The 20,866-nt window shown below is 46.4% G+C and overlaps 1 long non-coding RNA gene and 1 pseudogene across 1 annotated transcript; one reads left to right on the top strand and one right to left on the bottom strand.

Annotated features, from left to right (window-relative positions):
- The first annotated feature begins 1,144 nt into the window (after nucleotides 1–1,144).
- On the top strand, nucleotides 1,145–3,697 carry LOC105375534 (uncharacterized). Its single transcript, XR_001745387.2, has 3 exons — nucleotides 1,145–1,304; nucleotides 2,467–2,619; nucleotides 3,252–3,697. It is a non-coding gene; the product is annotated as an uncharacterized LOC105375534 (long non-coding RNA).
- Nucleotides 3,698–5,065: 1,368 nt separating this feature from the next.
- Nucleotides 5,066–6,048, bottom strand: PPP1R2P6 (protein phosphatase 1 regulatory inhibitor subunit 2 pseudogene 6; annotated as a pseudogene).

The raw sequence follows: 20,866 nt of genomic DNA, 5'->3' as shown, positions 1-20,866 counted from the left end.
TATATATATATACACACACATATATATATACATATATATATATATATATATATGTTGAGAGAGAGAGAGAGAAAGAATACAGGAAGTGATTAATAAATACACAGGATGGCAGTGTCCTCCAGGAGCTAGAGAGGAAGGTGGGGAGGAACACCAGGGGAGGAGTACCAGGGGAGGAGCACCAGGGGAGGAGCACCAGGAGAGTTCTGTATTATGTGTTGTGCGTTTTATTATCATTCTTTAAAACCGTAGATATCCACATCATATGCACTCTTTCATTTGTATGCAGTGTTCACAATTTAAAAATGAAAATGCAATGCCACATCTTAGGATAATATTTTATGCTGCAATTTCTTTTGCTTGATTTTTTTTTTTTTAGAACATTCTGTGTTTTAAAATTTTTTGACCTGTCAGAGTCAGTTGCCAATTATGGTATTTATTTGCAAGGACACTTTATTCTGAGATTCTGCTCCTCTTATCTTTTTTCTTTTTTTTTTTTTTGGTGGTAAGATGCCCTTTCTTTTGATGGCATTTTAATAAAATGTTGGTGATAATAACAGTATATTTGGGATTTAAAAACAAAACCTCCCTTGTGTATTAAATAACAAATTGGCAACTAGAAGTGACTCCCAGCCCCCTTCCTTTTTTAAAGGTGACATTTAAAAGACTGGAAACCACAGGTGTAGACAACTTTTCTTTTGGGAAAGGAAGATATCCAGCTCTAAGGGGTTTTCAATAAATAAATAAATAAATAAAGAGAGTTGGAGGAGTACTGCCTAGAGAAGATGAAAGGGACGTGTGGAATCCTCTCAAGCTTTTCAAAGAGGTTTTCACATTCTTGGAGACATTGTATGTTGGTTTGAGAATCTTTCTTGTGGTTTTTTTATTGGTTTATTTGTGCATTTGTTTGTTTTTGAGACAGGGTCTCACTCTGTTGCCCAGGCTGGAGTGCAGTGGCATGCCCTAGGCTTACTGCAAACTCTGCCTCCTGAGCTCAAGTGATCCTCCCACCTCAGCCTCTCAAGTAGCTGGGACTACAAGCATGCACCACCACGCGCGGCTAATTTTTGTATTTTTTTGTAGAGACGGGGTGTCACCATATTGCTCAGGCTGGTCTCCAAATCCTGAGCTCAAACGATCTACCTGCCTTGGCCTTCCAAAGTGCGAGCCACCACACCTGGCCCTCTTGTGGTCTTAAAGGAAAGGGGAGGAGGGCAGGTGAAGAACAGAAATGCCACATGTCATATTTAGTAGGACACCAGCAAGTGGAGCCATGCTGCAGCTTCATTTTCCCCAAAGCTGAAACTGTGAGTACACCACCACCAAGTAGCCATGCTCATAGAATCTGAGAGGTGGAAGAGTTTGGAGGGAGTATAACAACTATTATTATAACCTGCATTTATTGACCTTTTTTTTTGGAGACAGAGTTTCGCTCTTGTTGCCCAGGCTGGAGTGCAATGCCATCTCGGCTCACTGCAACCTCTGCCTCCCAGGTTCAGGCAATTCTGCTTCAGCCTCCCAAGTAGCTGGGATTACAGGCATGCGCCACTATGATCGGCTAATTTTTTGTATTTAGTAGAGACAAGGTTTCACCATGTTGGTCAGGCTGGTCTCAAACTCCTGACTTCAGGTGATCCGACCACCTTGGCCTCCCAAAGTGCTGGGATTACAGGTGTGAGCCACTGCACCTGGCCCATTTATTGACCTTTTAAACGCATGCTCTGTGTGAGCGTTTTACAGGCACCAGCTCATTGAATCCTCTCATCAACCCTAAGAGGAGGTATTTGTCTCCATTTTATTTTATTTTACATTTTATTTATGTATTTATTTATTTATTTATTTTTAATTCTTTTTGAGACAGAGTCTCACTCTGTCACCCAGGCTGGAGTGCAATGGTGAGATGTTGGCTCACTGCAACCTCTGCCTCCTGGGTTCAAGTGATTCTCCTCTCTCAGCCTCCTGAGTAGCTGGGATTACAGGCACCCACCATCACGCCTGGCTAATTTTTGCATTTTTAGTAGAGACGGGGTTTCACCATGTTGGCCAGGCTGGTCTCGAACTCCTGACCTCAAGTGATCCGCCTGCCTTGGCCTCCCAAAGTGCTGGGATTACAGGTGTGAGCCACTGCGCCTGGCCTCCATTTTATTTTATTTTAGATTATGACTTATTATTTTGTGAAAGATACACATAAAAGCTTTTAATCTTGGGAGTTATTTTACTTAAATAATTTTTTATTGATGCATAATAGATGTACATACTTTTGGGGTGGGAATAATTTTAGATTTGCAGAAAATTTTCAAAGACAGTATAGAGAGTCCCCATATGGCCTTCACCCAGCTTCCCCTAATGTTCACATCTTACATAACCGTGGTACATTTGTCAGAACTAAGTGATTAATATTGATATGCTACTCTTAACCAGCGACTTTATTAGGATTTCACCTACAACTCCTGTGCCCTGTGTTTAAAGTCAAAGGCAAATGACAACAACCCAATCCAGGCAAGACTGCTAAAGGCTTAGACCCTTCAAGAATGAAGGTTTGGGTGATCCCACCAGTCAGGAGGCCATGACCCGCTGAGGTGCTTGCTGAGGACAAAGGAAATGAGGAATGGGTGGTGGCAGGTAATTATCAATGTCAACTACAGACGCATGACCAATGGCAGAAATGAGGACTGTAGTAATGATTTTGATACGAATATGTTTGTATTTATGAATTAACTAAATATTTTCATTATCTTCCTCTCTCCTAGCCCCTTAACGTCTAACATAAGGCATGTTAATAGAAATTAGCTTTCTCTCTCAGTATTTCAGTTATAGGATCTCAAAGGGGGAGTGTGAATCAGTGAGGAAGAAGCTTATGATGTGTTTATATACAGTTTAAAGAGTGATAATAAAATGCACAAAAAGGGAGTGTGAATCAGCTAGAAGAAGACAAAAAGAGAGTTTGCATCTTCGCTGGGGAAAGGGTGCGTGTGGATTTGTGGGATGGCTGCATTCTGTTAGGAGGAAGCATCACTTTGTTACTGTCCGTAACTGGAGGATAAGTGTGATGAAAAGAGGAGTGTGTGGGTGCCAACTTGAGAAGGGAGCAGTTGTGCCGACTTTAAAATATGTCAGCCTGGCTGCGTTGAACTCCGTTTCTCAGAATCCCCTCCCGCTATGTCTCCAGTTAGGATGAGCCACAAGAGAGAATTGGAGGGTGGAAGTGAAGCAGTCACCATTTTGTAATTTACCTGTTGTCATTTAACCTGCAGGCTCCCGTCATCAGTGTGGATGGCAGCCATGCCTGCAGCTACTCTACCTTCCCCTGATCCTCCTTCAGCTTCTCCAACTCCTGGGCCAGATGGGGCAGCTCCATGACAATGGGCACTGGCTTCTTCAGGACATCCAGACCCTCAAGGTCAGGGGCAGTGAGACTGACACAGGTTCCAGTTCATGCTGCTCGGTTCCAGCTTGTGCTTGCAGGTTACAGGCTGTCCTGCTCTTCTCTATTTATATCCATTTCCCTCCTAACCACCTGCCCTGTGAACTTAACTCTCTAGCATCAGACATCCCATCCAGGAGGAGAACATACACACAGTTGTTTAACTAGCCTCACAATTACTAAGATCAAATTTGCACAACAAATACACACACACACAGAGAAATATGTATCCTAATGGGTCTGCCTCTCTGATTAAACCCTTAATTGATACACTCATTCTGTGGACATCATTCAGTCCTTTTTCTCCAGCCACTCCGTCCTTGCTCAGTGAACTCACAAACAAAGGGGACATAGCAGCAGCAATAGAAGGGATGCAAGGGCTTAGTAGCCTGGTCTTCTACCCTCCAAGCCTGAACTGACAACAGATCACAGCCCATACTGAGGCCCTAATATGGCACTATTCCCCAAGAGGACCAATCAGCTGCCTGGTGGCAGGTTAATTACATCAGGTCACCTCCATTATGAAAGAGGAAGTGCTTTGTACTTGCTGGAATAGACACTTACTATGGACATGAATTTTCCTTCCCTACCCACAATACTTCTGCCAGAGCCACAGTAAGTGGACTTACAGAATGCCCTACCCACCGTCAAGGTAGGCCATATGGCATTACTTCTGACCAAGGAAGTCATTTCATAGCAAATTAAGTGGATCAGCGGGCTCCTGCTCATGGAGTTTACTAGTCTTACCGTGTTTCCCACCACCCTGAAGCAGCTGGCCCAATAGAACAATGGAATGAGCTTTTGAAGATTCACAGGACCAGCTACCATCTACCATCCCTATAAGGATGACGACACCTTATAGAGCTGGTGTATGATCTATGCTTTTTTTTTCTTTCAAGTTTAACCTGATAATTTATTTGTGGGGAAAAAGCTAGTTTTGATGAGAAAAAGTTGTCCTTTCCTTGTAAACACAAAGAAACTCAACAGGAATTTTAAATGTTATAGTAGGCCAGAAAATGCAACAGTAACTCTTACAATCCTTTTCAATTAAACAGACAAATCAAGTTGAAGACAAATGTTAAAATACTATTTAGCCCAAATATTTATCAGCGTATATATCCTGTTGTTCAATTGGCTTTTGATTTAAAAACCAAACAGACAAACCAACAAACTTTATAAGAGCTACACTGGCTGGGCGCGGTGGCTCATGCCTGTAATCCTAGCACTTTGGGAGGCCGAGGCAGGCAGATCCCTTGATGTCAGGAGTTTGAGACCAGCCTGGCCAACAGGGCAAAACCCCGGCTCTACTAAAAATACAGAAATATTAGCTGGGTGTGGTGGCACATGCCTTTAATCCCAGCTACTTGGGAGGCTGAGGCAGGGGAATCACTTAAACCCAGGAGATGGAGGTTGCAGTGGGCCAAGATCGTACCACTGCACTCCAGCATGGGTGACAAAGCGAGACTCCCTCTCAAAAAAAAAAAAAAAAAGCTATCACCACATTTAGAGTGATGAAAATAAATTAGTTCCCCCCTCAAGATATTGTTTAACCTCTAAAGCATAAAAAGCTGTATAATTTCTTATACAAATTGACCAGTGTTCTTTCAAAAGTAATGCAGTTTGGGATTGATATTACACTGTATTTGTGGGAAAGTACTAGGCACAAGAAAATATATATATCAATTAGGCATTTTCAGTCTAGTCAGTCTCTAAGGTTATTTAATTCTTGGTGATGTATAATCATTGGTATGCATTTTGGTACTTAAGTCATGAATTGTGGAGAACAAGAAGCAACAGGGTTTATATCTAACAAACGATTGCAACATTCAACCGATCTCTTCTGTGAACTTTGTGATTTGTTTTGCCATTGGTCGCTTGTAGTAGGTTCTTTTTTTTTTCATTCTTCCATATTCATGCTTTCTCCATCTGCACTCTGTCACGTTTCTTCATCTTTGTCATCGTGATGTACGTCTTTTGACATTAGTTGTCTAGCTAATTTAATATTGAGTCCTTTGTTGAAGTGAAGCCTCCTTTTCATTTTAAATTGTCGCTTTTTTTCTCGTTCTTCAGGTGAGAGGTCACTATCCTCCTCTCCACTGCTTTCTTGTTCCTGAACCCGATACTTGGGCTCTGAGCCTTCAGCAGCAGCTAATTTCTTAGCTATCTGGTGCCATGGCCTCAGTGGTTTCTGTATCATTACACGCGTCTCCATCAACACCCATCACACCATGGTAAGGGGAGTGTTTGGTTCATCAGTGTTCATGAAGCCACAGTCTTTGTCTGCTGGATGATATGTTGCCAGGAAGTTCATTTCATCCCACTTCCGGGATTTTTTCTCAGCTCTTCTTCTGCCGACGCAACCATAGAGAGTCGTAGAAGTCCTGTTCTTCAGGATCCCCTTGATGGGCCGGTGCGAGGCTGTTGAGGCGGCCTTTGCCCGGCGCTCCGGCTGTCGGCTCAGGGTCGCTGCTTGGCATGGGCTCTGCGGAGAGAAGGATCAGGCACTAGCCAAGCCCGCCAGGCAGCCGCGGAGCCCGCTCAAGGCTAAAGAGGCCGCACATGCTGTATCGGAAACGGCTACTGGAGTGATTGTCAACACACAACGACCCCGACACCAAAGCCCACGCTGAGCGGGTGGCGGCTCCTCGCGCGCCCTTCGCGGCCAGCACTTTACCCGTGGTCCATGCTTTAAATCAGTGACCAAGATATGACACTATTTCACCCATAGCCGGATTCATGGGGCCAGGGGTCAGGAGGTGGAGAAGGGAGGGGTCTCTTTCACCATTACCTGTAATTATGCACCTGTGACATTTTTCTTTCCCATGCCTACAACTTTAGGTTCTGCTGGCCTAGAAGTCTTAGTTCCCAAAAGAGGAATGCATCTATCAGGGAACATAGCAATGTTTCCATGAAACTGGAAGTTCAGGCCGGGGGCGGTAGCTCGCGCCTGTAATCCCAGCACTTTGGGAGGCCAAAACAGATGGCTCACCTGAGGTCAGGAGTTCGAGACCAGCCTGGCCCACATGGTGAAATCCCGTTTCTATTAAAAACACAAAAATTAGCTTGGCATGGTGGCAGGCGCCTGTAATCCCAGCTACCTGGGAGGCTGAGGCAGGAGAATCGCTTGAACCCAGGAGGTGGAGGGAGGTTGCAGTGAGTCAAGATCCGGCCACTGCACTCCAGTCTGGAAGACAGAGAAAGACCTGTCAAAAAAAAAAAAAAAAAAAAAAAAAAAGGAAGGAAGGGAAACTGGAAGTTCAGATGGCTTTAGGGTCCTCGTGTCAATGAACCAACAGGCCAAGAAAGTTACTGTTTTGGCTGGGGTAATTGATCCTGATCAAGAGGAAACTGGGCTGCTACTTCGCAATGTGGATAAGGAGGAGTATGTCTGGAATTTGGGCATTTGGGAGATGTCCTGTGATAAAAGATAATGGGAGGTGGTCACGGTGGCTCACGCCTGTAATCCCAGCACTTTGGGAAGCCAGGGCAAGAGTATTGCTTGAGTTAATTAGTTCAAGACCAGCCTGGGAAACACAGCTAAAACCCCGTCACTACAAAAAAATACAAAAAATTAGCTGGGTGTCATGGTGCAAACCTGTAGTCCCAACTACTCAGGAGGCTGAGGTGGGAGGATCGCTTGAGTCCAGGGTTCAAGGCTGCAGTGAGCTATGATTGAGCCACTGCACTCCAGCCTGTGTGACAGAGCAAGACCCTGTCTCTATGTATATATATACATATGTATATATGTATATATATAATGAAGATAATGGAAAACTACAATTGAACTCAGGCAGGCTTGTTAATATCACAAGCACTTCAGTAACGGAGGTTTGAATCACCCCATCAGTCAAGGAATCTGTCTAGCTGAGTTGTTTGTTTGTTTGTTTTGGAGACAGAGTCTCAGGGCTGGAGTGCTGTGGCACAATCTCAGCTTACTGCAACCTCTGCCTCCCAGGTTCAAGCGATTCTCCTGCCTCAGCCTGCCAAGTAGTTGGAATTACAGGTGTGCTCACCTCACTCGGCTAATTTTTTTTTTTTTTTTGTATTTTTAGTAGAGACAGGGTTTCATCATGTTGGCCAGGCTGGTCTCGAACTCTGACCTCAAGTGATCTGCCTGCCTCAGCCTCCCAAAGTGCTGGGATTATAGGTGTGAGCCACCATGTCCAGCCAGTGAACAAATATTTTAAAAGCTGGTTTTAACCACCACATTTACTGCTTATAATTTATCCTTCAGGGTTCGTGTTGAGGGGAAACGGGATGTTGATTAGTTGAGGAAAAGGATTAAGAATACCAGCCACAATCATGAGACCGACTACATAAATGAAGACTATAGTAGTTATAAGCATTTCTTCTTACTTTAATATGAATACTTCATGTATATTTCATCCAATTTTTTTCTTTCCTTCCTCCACCCCGTTACCCTACTACTGAATGAGATGCTAATAAGTTAACTTTATGTTTCATTATTCAAGTTACAGAATATCCACAAGGGATCAGCTAGAAGAGGAAGGAACATTACCTAAACATGAGTAAAATGATATGCAGCTTTGTATTCTCTATTGGAAAGATGGTTAGTGTATTTTCAGTGATATAAAAGATAATTGTATCCTGTAAGGTGAATGCATGATTTTGCTATTGTCTTTATTTGGAGGTTTAATGTGATTCAAAAAGTATGTATGGAGGCTGGGCTTGGTGACTGTCGCCTGTAATCCCAGCATTTTGGGAGGCCGAGGTGGGCAGATCACCTGAGGTCAGGAGTTTGAGACCAGCCTGGCCAACATGGTGAAACCCCATCTCTACTAAAAATACAAAAATTAGTCAGGTGTGGTGGTGCACCCCTGTAATCTCAGCTACTCGGGGGGCTGAGGCACAAGAATTGCTTGAACATGGGAAGCGGAGGTTGCAGTGAGCTAAGATCACACCATTGCACTCCAGCCTGGGCAACAGAGTAAGACTCTTCCTCAAAAAAATAGTAATAAAAAAATATACATATATTTATGGACGCCAAGTTTACAGGGGGTAGACTGTGGTGGTTTGTATTGTGTCAGTTGGGCTAAGTTGGAACTACATTTTCCAGAACCCTCTTCTCTGTAGAGCTGGCCAGAAGAGGAATTTACATGAGATTTGAAAGGCAGAAATGAAGCCACCACACTGCTCTGGAAGGTCATCATGCGCAGCTGCAATAAAGGGTACACAGAAGTGCTGGTGGAGGTGGAGAAGGGGAGGAGTTTGGCTGGGGCTGAGTGCCGTCATTGCTGGGAGATCTGGGTTCATTTATTTATTTATTTATTTAGAGATGGAGTTTCACTCTTGTCGCCTAGGCTTGAGTGCAATGGCACTATCTCGGCTCAGTGCAACCTCCGCCTCCTGGGTTCAAGTGAGTCTTCTGCCTCAGCCTCCTGAGTAGCTGGGATTACAGGCGCCCGCCACCGCACCCAGCTAATTTTTGCATTTTTAGTAGGGGCAGGGTCATGTTGGTCAGGCTAGTCTCAAACTCCTGACCTCAGGTGATCCACCCACCCTGGCTTCCCAAAGTGCTGGGATTACAGGCATGAGCCACCACACCCAGCCTTGTTTCTTTTTATTAATTCAACAAATATTTATTGAGTGCCTGCTATGTCTGTGCTGCTTTATTTTTAAGGCTTTAAATGTTCATTTTGAAATAATTTCAGACATAAAAAAGTTGCATTAATAGTACAGAGTTATATATTCTTCACCCATCTTTCTCAAATGTTATCTTAGAAAATCTGGAATCATAGCACAATCATCAAAACCAGGAAGTTGGCTGGGCAGAGTAGCTCATGCCTGTAATCTCAGAACTTTGGGAGCCCAAGGTGGGTGGATTTCTTGAGGCCGGGAGTTTGAGACCAGCCTGGCCAACATGATGAAACCCCGTCTCTACTAAAATTACAAAAATTAGCCGGGCGTGGTGGCACACACCTGTAATCCCAGCTACCTCTTGAGGCTGAGGCATGAGAATTGCTTGAACCCAGGAAGCAGAGGTTGCAATGAGCCAAGATCAGGCCACTGCACTCTAGCCTGGGCAACAGAGTGAGACTCTGTCTCAAACAAACAAACAAACAAACAAACACCAAAAACCAGGAAGTTAATATTGATATAATACTATTAACTCATCTACATATGTGTTACAATTTTGCCTCTTGTTCCACTAATGTCTTTTTTTAGGTTCTAGAGTCAATCCAGGAGCCCATGCTGCTTTTATTTTTTATTTATTTATTATTATATTTTTGAGATGGAGTTTCGCTCTTGTTGCTCAGGCTGGAGTGCAATGGCACGATCTTGGCTAACTGAACCTCCACCTCCTGGGTTGAAGTGATTCTCCTGCCTCAGCCTCCCGAGTAGCTGGGATTACAGGCGCCCGCCACCATGCCCAGCTAATTTTTTGTATATTTTTCAGTAGAGACGGGGTTTCACCATGTTGGCCAGGCTGGTCTTGAACTCTTGACCTCGGGTAATCCCCTTGCCTCAGCCTCCCAAAGTGCTGGGATTACAGGCATAGCCACTGCACCCAGCCCGCTGCTTTTAATTATGTCTGTTTAGTCCCTTCCAATCTGGAATCATCGCACAGCCTTTCTCTTTCATGACCTGGGCGCTTTTGAAGAGTACAAACCAACTAGTTTGTATAATGTCTACTTGGGTTTTTTTAAATGTGTCCTTAGGATAAACTCAGGTTATACGTTTTGGGCAAGAATACCAGAGAAGTGATGCGGTTCCCTTCTCAGTGCGTCCTGTCAGAGGTGTCTCCTCCCTGGACTTGGCTGACTTTGGTCCCTTGGATTAGGTGATATCTTCCAGGTTTCTACACTGCAAAGTCATTATTTTTCCCCTTTGGAATCAGTAAGTATCTTATGGGGAGATTCTCTGAAACCCTGCCCATAGCCGGTTTTCCACCATGCTTGCCCACTACTTCTGGCATCAGTGGATGGTTCTTGAGCAGGTCCTGTTTCAGGCACTGGGCATCAGCGACTCCAGCTGTGGGGCTTCTGCTGTCCCTTTTGAGACCTTGTGAAGTGTGGTTGACTGAGTTGGCTGTAACCAGGCCAGCAGCCCTCATTTGCAGGGCAACAGCTGTAGCTGCTCCCGCTGTTCAGCACCTGGTTCCAGGATAGGGCAAGGCTTGGGGCCTTTGGGGTGGGGTGGGGGGGTTTCCCATGGACTGAGCTGCAGCTTCACTCCCATCTGCCTCAGGACTGGGAGCTCCCCATAGGACCGCTAAGGGTTTTGTCCCTTTTCCTCCACTTTGATGGAGCTTCTAGAAATAAGGGTGGGATTAGGAATCAGGTTCTTCTTCACCACCTGCCCTGCCCTGCCCTGCCCCACCTTAGGGTCTTCTCCCCCTTGGCCATTCCTCTCTGGTGTTTATAGCATATAGTTGTTAGTGGTATTCTCACTTCCCCGTTAGGCTCTTGCTAGTGAAGTTGTGGATCCAGCATAACTCCATCGGCAACCTTCATCCATTTATTAGGGAAGGTCATGTATTTCCAGGTTCCAGGCATTCAAACGTGGGAATCTTTGGGGAGGCCATGATACTGCCCACCACAAGTGGTTAAGCAATTTGCCCAAGGTCACACAGTTGGGGGTGGGATCAGTGGCTCATGCCTGTAATCCCAGCACTTTAGGAGGCTGAGGTGGGTGGATCACATGAGGTCAGGAGTTTGAGACCAGCCTGGCCAACATGGTGAAACCCCATCTCTACAAAAAATAGAAAAAGTAGCTGGGCATGGTGGCGGGTGCCTGTGGTTCCAGCTACTCAGGAGGCTGAGGCACGAAGATCACTTGAACCTAGGAGGCGGAAGTTGCAGTGAGCTGAGATCGCACTGCTGCATTCCAGCCTGGGTGACAGAGCGAGACCCTGTCTTAAAAAAAAAAAAAAAAAAGGAAAGTAAGTGGCAAGCTAGGCGCGATGGTTCATGCCTGTAATTCTAGCACTTTGGGAGGCTGAGGCAGGCGGATCACTTGAGGTCAGATGTTCGAGACCAGCCTGGCCAACATGGTGAAACCCATTTCTACTAAAAATACAAAAATTAGCCAGGCATGGTGGTGAGCGCCTGTAATCCCAGCTACTTGGGAGGCTGAGGCAGGAGAATGGCTTGAACCCAGGAGGCGGAGGTTGCAGTGAGCCGAGATTGTGCCACTGCACTCCTGCCTGGGCAACAGAGTGAGACTCCGTCTCAAAAAAAAAGGTAAGTGGCAAAGTCGGGATTCCAACCCAGGCAGTCTGGTCCCAGCCTGCTGTTGGTCACCACACTGCACTGCCTTTCAGCCCTTAGAAGGCTCTTTCTGGGATGTCCCTGAGAAATGGCCAATCTCTGCATGAACACCCCCTCTACAGGGAATGTTCCCGTAGGAACGAGTGCATTAGTTCAGGGTGCTCCAGAAAAACAGAACCAGTAGCATGTGTGTGTGTTCTATGTATAGATACACAATACACACACGAACACATACACACATGAACACACACACACACACACACACACACATGAACTTCTTTGGAATGGGTGATAAGCCTGGCTGCCCATCCTAAAATGCTATAACTGAAGTCCTGTTGGGTCAGGGTAGGGATAAGATGCAGAGCATCTAGCAAAAGAATTTTGTTCCAAGTGGTCTTGACTTATGCAGTAACTGGGATCCTAAATCAGTGCCCGTGAATGAAATTTTAGAAAGCGATGCAGAGAAGTCCTTTTGCAACGTGAATAAAACCTGAATTTTCAAGGGTCCAGTGTTGAACCCACCTGGATTATCACCTCAAGGGATTTCTGCTATTTCACTGCATTCAAGCTAGGCATAATAGTTCATAAGTGCATTCTGAAAATGACTTTTTATTGCCACAGCTTAAAAAAAAAAAGGAAAGCTTAAAGTACATCAATAAAAATACCACCACTATCAGTGAGAAAACTGTTAACGTTTTGGTGTATTTCCTCTGTCTTGTTTCTAGGCCCAAGTAATTTTTAAGGAAATGGGAAACACATTGAATAGGCAGTTTTACATCCTGCTTCTTTCACGATATCAGTGTATCATAAACAGTTTCTATTATTATGGAAGTAGGTTATTGCGGGGGTCAGAGGAGGCCTGCAGTGTGAGGCCTCTCTATGAACTATGGCAGCACGGGATCCCAGGTTCCAAGAACAAGAGTTAGACCACACGGGGGTTCTTTGGTCCACACTGCACACATGGGAATGGGCCAGGGGCCTTGGAGTCGGCTGAGTTTCAGGTTATAACCAATATTGGGCTAAGCAGTGCACGATGACAGAATTAAGTTGGAGGCTATGTGGCAGCCAGAGAGAGAATGAGGTGTCAGTTTAACAAAGTGGCTTGCAGACTTGGAGCAAGCAGAGGAGAGGCTGGCCAGGTGGCTGCGGATACAGAGAGAAGGAGTCTCAGGAAGGGTGGAGGAGGAGGGAACTGACCTGTCCCCAAGACCTTGGGATGCTCCTTCACTCACGTAGGGTTCCCCGAGTGCCTGCCATGCACCGCCTGGGACCAGAGGCAGTAGGGAAGGAGCAAGAGAAGCTCTTCCAGGCACAGAGGATCTGGTGGATTTTGGCAAGTTCTTATTCCAAAGCCTGAAAATTCCTTTTGAGTCTTTCAAGGCCCTTCCTGATCTGCCCCAGGTTCCCTTTCTCACTTCATCTCCTCTCTGCCTCCCTCGCTCCTTCTAGCCAGCTCCACTGGCCTTCTTTTTTTTTTTCCCGAGACAGAGTTTCGCTCTGTCACCCAGTCTGGGGTGCAGTGGTGCAATCGCCGCTCACTGCAACCTCCACCTCCTGGGTTTAAGTGATTCTCCTGCTTCACTACAACCTCTGCCTCCTGGGTTCAAGTGATCTTCCTGCCTCAGCCTCCTGATTAGCTGGGATTACAGGCATGTACCACCACACCCAGCTAATTTTTTGTATGTGTATTTTTTATTTTTTTGAGACACAGTTTCACTCTTGTTGCCCAGGCTGGAGTGCAATGGCACGATCTTGGCTCACTGCAACCTCCGCCTCCCAGGTTCAAGCAATTCTCCTGCCTCAGCCTCCCAGGTAGCTGGGATTATAGGCATGTGCCACCATATCTGGCTATTTTTTTGTATTTCTAATAGAGACAGGGTTTCTCCATGTTGGTCAGGCTGGCCTCGAACTCCCGACCTCAGGTGATCAGCCTGCCTTGGCCTCCCAAAGTGTGCGGATTACAGGCGTGACCCACCGCACCTGGCCTGTATTTTTATTAGAGATGGAGTTTCACCATGTTGGCCAGGCTGGTCTTAAACTCCTGTCTTCAGGTGATCCGCCTGCCTTGCCTCCCAAAGTGCTAGGATTACAGGTGTGAGCCACTGTACCCAGCCATCAGATTTCTTTTCTTTGCAATCTTTCCCCTTCCAATATACCAAGTAATTTTACTTATGTCTTTTGTTTATTGCCTGTCTCCTTACCACTAGAATGAGAGCAGGGATTTTTGCTTTTGTTCACTGATTTATCTCCAGGGCCTACCACATAGTAGAAGCTCAATAAATGGTTGCTAATGAATAAATCTGACCAAATGTGACACCCAGCCTATGCTCAGAAACAAACCAGTGTTAGGCTTATCAGGAACCAATGAAATCACATTGACTACTGCATTAAGATTTTTCACCAAATGTCTTTGGATTCATTCATCCATTCAGAGAATATGTATTGAGGGCTTTCTATGTGCCAGGCACTGCTCTCAGTGCAAAGAGTCTAGCAGTAAGCAAAACCAAGAGAAAGAAAGAGACAAGAAACAAATAGCTTATGATGAAATGTCAGGTGGTGGTAAGTGCTATGAAAAATTAATTAAGCGAGTAAATGTTCCAGTTAACTGTTGCTGTGAAACATACCACCCCAAAACTTAGTGGCCTAAAACAACAAGTCAGTTTCATCTCTTATGGCTCTTTGGTTGACTGGGCTCAGCAGGGTGGATCTTGTGGGGTTTTGCATGTGGTTGCCATCAGATGCTGGCCAGGCCTTTAGTCATCTGAGGAATCTGCTGGCTGGACATCTGAGTGGCTCACTCTGTTGACTGCAGAGGTTGACTGTCAGCTGGGAGCCAAGCTGGGCTGTCAACCTGGATACCTACTTGTGGCCTCTCCATGTGACCTGGGCTTTTCAACATGCCAGCTGGGATCTGGAAGGAGGTCTTCAAGAGGAAAGTGTTCCAAGAACACTGTGTTTGGAACTAGCACTGTGTCTAGCGCCATATTCTGTTGGTCCAAGCAGTCACAAGGTTCCCATAGTCAAGGGGCTGGAGAAAGAACACGTGGGACAGAAGAGATTGCTGCAGTACCCCTGGGAAACACAGTCTCTATGGGAAGGGGATGGTAAGTGGTGGGGAAGGTCTCTGAAGGGAAGGCCTCTCTGATAAGGTGAACTTTGAGCACAGGCCTGAGGGGAGTGAGGAGATGAGTCATGGGGGTATCTGGGGAAGAGGGCTCTAGGCCGAGGCAGAGCAAGTACAAAGGCCCCGAGGCAGGAGCATGGCTGACCCAGTGAGGAGCAGCACCATGTGCATGTGGCATGCCCTTTCCTTCCCTGTCCTGAGACCACTGGTGCTCTTGCCTGCACATGTGCCCTTTACTCCTTGATCTTCACCAACCACGAGTCTTTGCCATGAAGTCACCCTCCTTGACCCAGAAGGCAGGTGCCAACCAGGTCACCCTCATTGCTGTGCTTTGCTGCCATCTAACTCAGAACCAGTGCCTGCATCATAGCCCTGGGGATCCAGCACTCCTGCCTCTCAGGTCAGCCCATCGGGGCCCCAGCACATAAACTGAGCAATGGCTCTGAGCCAAGGAAACCCAGGTGCCCTTTGCTGGGACTGCAGTTGGTCCCCGACCCCTGCCTGGCTTGGACCAGGCCCCTTCTCTGGGGCTGAACTCGAGGCCCACAGCCCACCTCACTGGTTGCTGAGCCCCACCTCATGCAGCTGAATGATCACAAACCATGATGGACCCCAGCTGGGCTCTGGGCTCCCTCGGCTCCCCAGCCACCTCTCTGATTTTCCACCCAAAGGCTGACAGCTGGGGTGGTGGTTGCACAGCGGCAAGGGTGCCAATTTCAGAGCCTGACTTTGTGGATTTGGATGGAGCTCTGCCTCACACTGGCTGTGTTACCTTGAACAAGTAATTTCACCTCCCTCTGCTTCTTTTATCTTTAATAGAGGGCTGTTATTGCATCTTTAAAATATTACAAAGAGGTCTGAAGAATCATCTGCCATCTTGTTTCCATAGCTGGTCAACTCAGATCTTCCTCAGCCTACGGAACTTTTCTTTTTTTGGAGACTTAAATACCATCCAAAATTTTTTTTGCTGTCCTTGTTGTGACCTGTAGAATCAAAGTGGCAGCCTGAATTTGATAACAATGCTTAATATTGTTTCCTTCAAGAATTAACTGATCACTCATCTTTCTGGGCTTGAGATATTGAACAAGAAATGCCTGGTCTCATCCAAACCCTGATGATGTATCAGAAGCCCAGGGGAGCACCCCGACTACAGGCAGTGTGGCCAGTTCCTTCCTACCTCCCACCCTTTGTCAGCCTGGAGCCTCTTCCTTTCCTTTCTAAGGAGACAGAGTTCAGCATTGATGTGATGCAAATCCCTCCACAGGGTTCTTCTGGGACCCTTCCCAATCCCTGTATGTCCCTTCCTAGTGAGGCTGATGCTTTCTGGAATGCTGATGGTGTGATTGCTGAGAATGACCTTCATTCTCACCACAGATGGGGCCAAGAGAGAGCTCCTGGTTTTGCTTCTGTTTCTCCATCCATAAAATGGGACTTCCTAGTTCTGATCTCATAGGTTTTCTGGGAGAACTCATTGAGTACATGCACGTGAAGAGCTCAGAAGGGCACCTGGCAGGCGGAAGGTGCTGTGTCGGCTCTAATGATGCTACGACTCTTGGGCAAAACTTTGGACTTTCTTGTGCTGACCCAGAGCCAGGCCCTGCAGCCAGACCCCACCTCAAGGCCCCATGTCCACCTGGGCCTCTCAGGTGGCTTTACCCTCTTGGTTGGCCCCACCAGCCAGATCACCCCCATGCCCCACTTGGGCCAACCCAGGAGCCCAGGAGCAGAGTGGAAAGTCCACCTTGTGAAAAAAGGCAGCAAGAATCCATCTGAATTTATAGAGGCTGCACCATGGGACCCAAAGTGGGTATTGGCACTGTTGGAGTCACAGCAGACGCCCTTAGCAACTGGTAAGCTTCAGCAGTGGCTGCACACACTGGAGTACTGGTTAACTCATAGGACAGGTGCCAGAATTTCTTTCTAAGAGGCATGATGGGAAAGCGGCAGTCGTGCAGTTGTGGGAGGATGCTAAGAGACCTGGCTTGAAGCACATCTGCATGGCAAGCTCGGTGTGCACGTAGAGGGCTGTCTACAGGCGTGTGGTACTCAGAAGTGCTCACGGCTAAGGAGAGGGCAGGCAAAGCCTCATGCTCCAGTGGTGATGAGGGACACCAGCTTTGACCCTTATATGGGGGCGCTAGTTCATGGAGTTGTCCTAATCATAAAAGAGTAAAGAATCCAGGAATGTAGGCTCTGGTTTTTGTGTTACTTTTTAAAAACATTTGTTTAAATTTTTTATTGTGGTAGAAAATGCACAACGTAAAATTGACCATCTTAACCATTTTCAGGCGTACAGTTCAGTAGTGTAAAGTTCATTCCCATTGTTGGCCAACCAATCTCCAGAGCTCTTCCATCTTGCAAAGCTGGAACTCTGTACCCATTAAACAATGCCTCCCCTCCCCTCCCCCAGTCCCTGGCAAGCATCATTCTACTGTGTGTTTCCATGAATGTGACAACTCTAGGTGGAATCATGCAGTATTGGTTTCTGTGTTCCTTTTGAAAGCCTGGACTTTTTGAAAGCTTCGTGGTGGCCATCATTGTATACACCATCCCCCTCCCTTGCCAGCTCTGCTCCTCAGTCTCCTTGGGGAGACTGTGCTTAGCCCACAGGTGCTGCTGTTGTCTCTCCTAGTCCTTGGCCAGCATGTCCTTCACTACCACACTTTTCCTGGATGTGCTCCCCCAGCCAAGGCTTCCATCACCCTCTGAGAGCTGATGGCCCCCCAGTTGCCTTAAGGCTTTATCCTTCCTGGGTCTTTGGAATCAAAGTGGCAATCTGAATTTGATAACAATGCTTAATATTGTTTCCTTCAATAATTAACTCATCTTTCCGGGCTTGAGATATTGACCCAGAGCCCCTGTCCCATTGACTTCCCATCCCCGTCTCACTCCTTCGCATCCTCCAGGGCTCAGCCTTCTCAACAGTCATCAGGAGATCCTTGCCTATATTGTGAAGACCTATTTCCTTGTCTGTCTTCCCTACTAGAGTGTAAGCTACTCGCAGGCTGAGAGAGCCTCATTCCTCTTGATGTCTCAGCATCGCAGACATCAGGAGCTCAGGAATTATTTGGCAAATGAGTGAATAAAGGAATCTTAACAACACAGCTCCATGGAAAGTAGGACCAAGAGAAAGGGTTGCAGGTGAAGATGGTGGGTTGAACACATGCATCTAACTTATTCTTTTCTTTTTGGCAGGGAGATGGAGTCTTGCTCTGTTGCCCAGGCTGGAGGGCAGTGGTACGATCTCAGCTCACTACAACCTCCCCTTCCCAGGTTCAAGTGATTCTCCAGCCTCAGTCTCCTGAGTAACTGGGACTACAGGTGTGTGCCACTGCATCTGGCTAATTGTTGTAGTTTTAGTAGAGAGTGGGTTTCACCATGTTGGTCAGGCTGGTCTTGAACTCCAGACCTCAGGTGATCCACCCACCTTGACCTCCCATAGTGCTGGGATTACAGGCATGAGCCACCGTGCCTGGCCCATCTAACTTATTCTTAATGAAATCCCACTAAAACTACAGCAAAGGGATTTAAAAGATAATATGCAAACCCATAAGGAGGATGAAAGGGCAGACCTGGGAAACTGAGTCATAATTGGCCAGTGTGAGGAGCAAAGTACCAATGTCATTTACCCTGCTGAATCCTCAAGAGGTACAGGAACAGGCAGCACAAGGGACCTCTGAAGATGGGGGAAAGTTGAGAAGTAGGGAGCCCTGGAGGCCATCTTGGATGCTGCTGACCCAAACCACATAAACAAATGCAGTGCACTTACCCAACCCTCACCCTTCGGCGGGCCCAATGTCTTGTCTACATAGGTGCCCTAATCCAAGTGAGCCCTGGGTTTCCCTGGATAGCCCTTGGTATATCCACTGTCTTTCTCAGAAGGGGCTCTGAACACTGTCGGGGAAGCTCAGCCATTTTATGACCTGAGACCCCATGGGAATATCTCATCCTGGAAGCCTTCATCTCGAAGTGACAGTGAAGCCCTGACCTTATTCAGCTGGCCTTGTGCTTCATACCCAGCTTTTCAAAACTCAGCAATGTTTGGTTACGTATATATAGTCAGGTGATTAAAAAACAAAACAAACAAACAAAAAAACCTGTTTCAAAAGTAAGAAAATGATTAACACAAAAGTAACCCAAGTGGTTACCTCTTTGGGAAGAAAGGGAGATGTCATTTAGGAAGAACACACATGGGAATCTGCAGCAGGTTGAATTGTGCCCCCCCCCGCAAAGATATAGTCAAGTCCTAAGCCCCGTGTATTAGGCTGTTCTTGAGTTGCTATAAAGAAATACCTGAGACTGGGCTATTCATTTATTTATTTATTTGAGACAGAGTCTCGCTCTGTTGCCCAGGCTGGAGTGCAGTGGCGCTATCTCAGCTCACTGCAACCTCTGTCTCCTAGGTTCAAGCAATTCTCCTGCCTCAGCCTCCCAAGGAGCTGGGATTAGAGGCAGAGGCCACCATGCCGGGCTAATTTTTGTATTTTTGTAGAGAAGGGGTTTTACCGTGTTGGCCAGGCTGGTCTTGAACTCCTGACCTCAAATGATCCACCCACCTCGGCCTCCCAGAGTGCTGGGATTACAGGCGTGAACCACTGCACCTGGCCTGAGAGTGGATAATTTATAAAGAAAAGAGATTAATTGGCTCACAGTTCTGCAGGCTGTACAGGAAGCATAGCAGCATCTGCTTCTGGGGAGGCCTCAGGGATCTTCCAGTCATGGCGGAAGGTGAACGGGGAGCAGGGGCATCACATGGGAAGGCAGGAGCCAGAGAAAGAGTGGGGGTGGGGGTGCCACACACTTTTAAATGACCAGATCTTGCGAGAATTCACTCACTATTATGAGGACAGCACCAAGAGGATGGTGCTAAACCATTCATGAGAAATCTGCCTCCGTGATCCTATCACCTCCCACCAGGTCCCACCTCCAACAATGGACACTTCAACTGGTCATGCGATTTAGCAGGGAGGACACAGATCCAAACTGTTATCACTACAGTACTTGTGAATGTGACTTTATTTGGAAATAGAGTCTTTGCAGATGTAATCAAAACAAGATGAAATCATGCTGATTAGATTAAGGTGGGCCCTAAATCCAGTGTAGCTGTTGTCTTTATAAGAGAAAGGACAGGGAGATTTGGATATAGATACACAGGGTAGAAGGCCCTCTGACAATGGAGGCAGAGATTAGAGTGATGTAGTTACAAGCCTAGGAACAACAAGGATTGTTGGCTGTCATCAGAAGTTAGGAAAAGTTAAGGAAGGACTCTCCCTAAGAGCCTTCAAAGAGAACACGGCCCTGGCCAGGCACAGTGGCTCATATCTGTAATCCCAGTACTCTGGGAGGCCAAGGCAGGTGGATCACCTGAAGTCAGGAGTTTGAGACCAGCCTGGGCAACATGGTGAAGCCCTGTCTCCACCAGAAAATACAAAAATTAGCCAGGGGCGTGGTGGCATATGCCTGTAGTCCCCAGCTACTTGGGAGGCTGAGGCAGGAGAATTGCTTGAACTGGGAGGCAGAGGTTGCAGTGAGCTGTGATCATGCCATTGCACTCCAGCCTGGGCGACAGAGCCAGACTCTGTCTCAAAAAACAAACAAACAAACAAAACAACCCAAAAAACAAAGAGAGCATGGCCCTGCCGATACCATGATTTCAGATAGCCCCCAAACTGTGAGAGAATACATTTCTGTTGTTTTAAGCCCCTCAGTTTGTGATACTGTACCTTGATATTGGCTAACCCTAGCAATCTAATAGAGATGCCTAAGGTTTTTACTAATGTTATATTTTATAGCCTGGGTTATGAGTACATAAGGGTTGAATTTGTTTTTTTAAACCTGTTTATATGTTTTATATACATATACGACTTCACAATAACAAAAATAAAAGTAAGCAATGGCAAAAAAGGGAACATCCAGTGACTGGGCTTAGGAAAGAAATTCAGGTTGGACACATTTGGCTATGGGTTTGCCTTGTGTACCAAGATCACAGCAGGGGATGTCACCACCCGCAGGTGTGTGGGGCATATGCAGGAGAGGACTTTTTTTCTTTTAAACTTTTATTTTAGGTTCAGGGGTACATGTGAAGGTTTG

This window comes from Homo sapiens, chromosome 7 (assembly GCF_000001405.40).
Source record: "Homo sapiens chromosome 7, GRCh38.p14 Primary Assembly".
Lineage (NCBI taxonomy): Eukaryota > Metazoa > Chordata > Mammalia > Primates > Hominidae > Homo > Homo sapiens.
This window is presented reverse-complemented; position numbering and strand designations above follow the sequence as displayed.